The sequence below is a fragment of the Homo sapiens genome, chromosome 2, assembly GCF_000001405.40.
Source record: "Homo sapiens chromosome 2, GRCh38.p14 Primary Assembly".
Taxonomy (NCBI): Eukaryota; Metazoa; Chordata; class Mammalia; order Primates; family Hominidae; genus Homo; species Homo sapiens.
Genome location: NC_000002.12, coordinates 41,155,777 through 41,158,555, shown reverse-complemented (window position 1 = coordinate 41,158,555; position 2,779 = coordinate 41,155,777). Strand labels below are relative to the sequence as shown.

At 37.7% G+C, this 2,779-nt stretch overlaps 1 pseudogene; it reads right to left on the bottom strand.

Moving 5' to 3' along the window:
- Nucleotides 1-1,000: 1,000 nt before the first annotated feature.
- Nucleotides 1,001-1,991, bottom strand: HNRNPA1P57 (heterogeneous nuclear ribonucleoprotein A1 pseudogene 57; annotated as a pseudogene).
- Between the last annotated feature and the right edge of the window lie 788 nt (nucleotides 1,992-2,779).

Below are 2,779 nucleotides of genomic sequence, written 5' to 3'. Positions count from 1 at the left end.
ATTATTTTTAAAATAAATTTTGTTCTATTGCTAAAATGCCTTCTCTAGAAAGTTTCTGTCTGTTGAATTCATTATTTAAAATTGAATCTTACTGCTTTGGGTAAATATCAGTATGTTTACTATATATTTGCATTGTGCTGGCATTAGGTAAGCATTCATACAGTGTTCCTTCTTATGAAGAGTGACATATTTTATAAGAGTGGAAAACCATGGAAATGAATTCTCATAGTTTAATAAAATATATCCAGTGTCTGTCTTGCAAAATATTGTAATACCATATAGTTAATAATATAATAATTAATATTCTTAAACATTTCCAAAAGACCAAGTATACTATGAAAAAATTTTTTTTAAAAGAAGACATTTGGCCGGGCGCGGTGGCTCACGCCTGTAATCCCAGCACTTTGGGAGGCCGAGGCGGGCGGATCACGAGGTCAGGAGATCGAGACCATCCCGGCTAAAACGGTGAAACCCTGTCTCTACTAAAAATACAAAAAATTAGCCGGGCGTAGTGGCGGGCGCCTGTAGTCCCAGCTACTTGGGAGGCTGAGGCAGGAGAATGGTGTGAACCCGGGAGGCGGAGCTTGCAGTGAGCCGAGATCCCACCACTGCACTCCAGCCTGGGCGACAGAGCGAGACTCCGTCTCAAAAAAAAAAAAAAAAAAAAAAAAGACATTTATTCAGCACCACAATCAGACTATTACATTTAGCAATCAACAGCATGGGTGCAAAAAAAAAAAAAAACTACATTAAAACCCTTTGTTGGAATGCTTTACACTTTCCACAGAACAGAAACTAAAATAACCTGTTATACAGTTAGTCGCAAATACAGTCCTCGAGTTTTTTGCCCATACACATGAGTGTTTTTCTAAAACATTTCTTCTTTTTAACAGCTAGGCCCTGCCACCACTGTGCTTGGCTAAGGTTACAAATCTATTACAACCGGTAGCTTCCCTGTCACTTCTCTGGCTCTCCTCTCTTGCTAAGCTTTGTTTCCTAATTAAAATTTTCTGCCACTGCCATAGCTACTGCTTCTACTGGAACCGCCATCACCACCTTTGTTTCATGGTTTGGCAAAGTATTGGCCTCCACCACCATAAGGGCCAGAGCTTCTGCATCCAAAGTTTCCTCCCTTCATGGGTCCAAAATTTGAAGAGTGATTGTTGCAATTGCCAAAATCATTGTAGCTTCCACCACCTCCAAAATTGCTTCCATCATTACCAAATCCATTATAGCCATCCCCACTGCCACCGTATCCACTACCACTATGGCTGCCACCAAAGCCACCACAACCATTGAAGTTTCCTCCATGACCAAAGTTGTCATTCCCACTGAAAAGACCTCCATGACCACCACCAAAGTTTCCGGAACAACTTCGACCTCTTTGGCTGGATGAACACTAGCCATCTCTCACTTTGACAGGGCTTTCCTAACTTCACAGTTGTGGCCATTCACAGTATGGTATTTCTGAATGACAGTCTTATCCATGGAGTCATGGTCATCAAAGGTTACAAAGGCAAAGCCCCTTTTTTTTGTCACTGCCTTGGTCAGTTATGATTTCAGTCACTTCAATATTTCCAAACTGTTCAAAATAATCTCTTAGATGATGTTCTTCAGTGTTTTCATTAATGCCACCAACAAATATCTTTTTCATAGTTAAATGGGCACCTGTTCTTTGAGAATCTTCTCTTGAGATCGCTCTTTGGTTCCACAACTCTTCCATCCACCTTGTGTGGCCTTGCGTTCATGGCTGCATCTACCTCCTCCACAGTGGCATATGTGACAAACCCAAAGCCCCTGGAGCACTTGGTGTTTGGATCTCTCATGACCACACAGTCCATGAGCATTCCCCACTGCTCAAAATGGCTCCTCAGGCTCTCATCAGCTGTTTCAAAGCTTAACTCTCCAATGAAGAGCTTCCTCAGCTGTTCAGGCTCTTTAGGAGACTCAGACTTAGACCTGATGGCAGAGAGAAGAGAGATTTTAACCATGCTTCTTCGGCGGCATCCATGGACAGAAAGGCTATGAAAGTATTTTAAGCAAATAAATGTATTATAAATATTTACACAACACAAGAATTTTTACTATTATCAGAGGATGTGAAAAATATATTAAATAGACATGATATGATCATTTCATTTGAATAAAGAAAGCACAGTAAAGTATCCCAAGAAAAAGTTGAAGAAACAAAAATATTAACTGTCAAAACTTACTAAGGTTGAGTGACAATACAATGTTTTTTCTTGGTAACTTTGCGATAATGTATTTTGGGCAATTTCTATTGAGATACACTATAAAAGTTTGATTTTATTTATAATTTTTATAATACCCTCTTCCCCCACACACTTTCTGGATGAAAACAGCCTGAACTTCTATAATGTTTTCTTTCAAGGAAATATTTAGCACAGACATACACAAAATAAATAAAACCTAAAACCTACTTTAAAAAGCTTCTGTAATGCACTGATTCCATATACATACATACATACATGCACATGTGTATAATTCTACATTGTGTTTATTTATATATATATTTGTGCTAACTTACATACAAACATATCAACTGTCATTACCAATACTGAGATGATTTGAGATCGTGTATGAACATGACCATCTAATGACTGAAGACCTAGGTCTAGGAAAACATCTCTTTACTAAAAATTATTATGTTTAATTCAATAATGAAAAACAATAATAATTATTTTTTACTATTTATAACAGCTTTTGTCCTTTTTGAAATTGTAAGATGTTTTCAAACATTTGAAAAGTTCTCAAAATC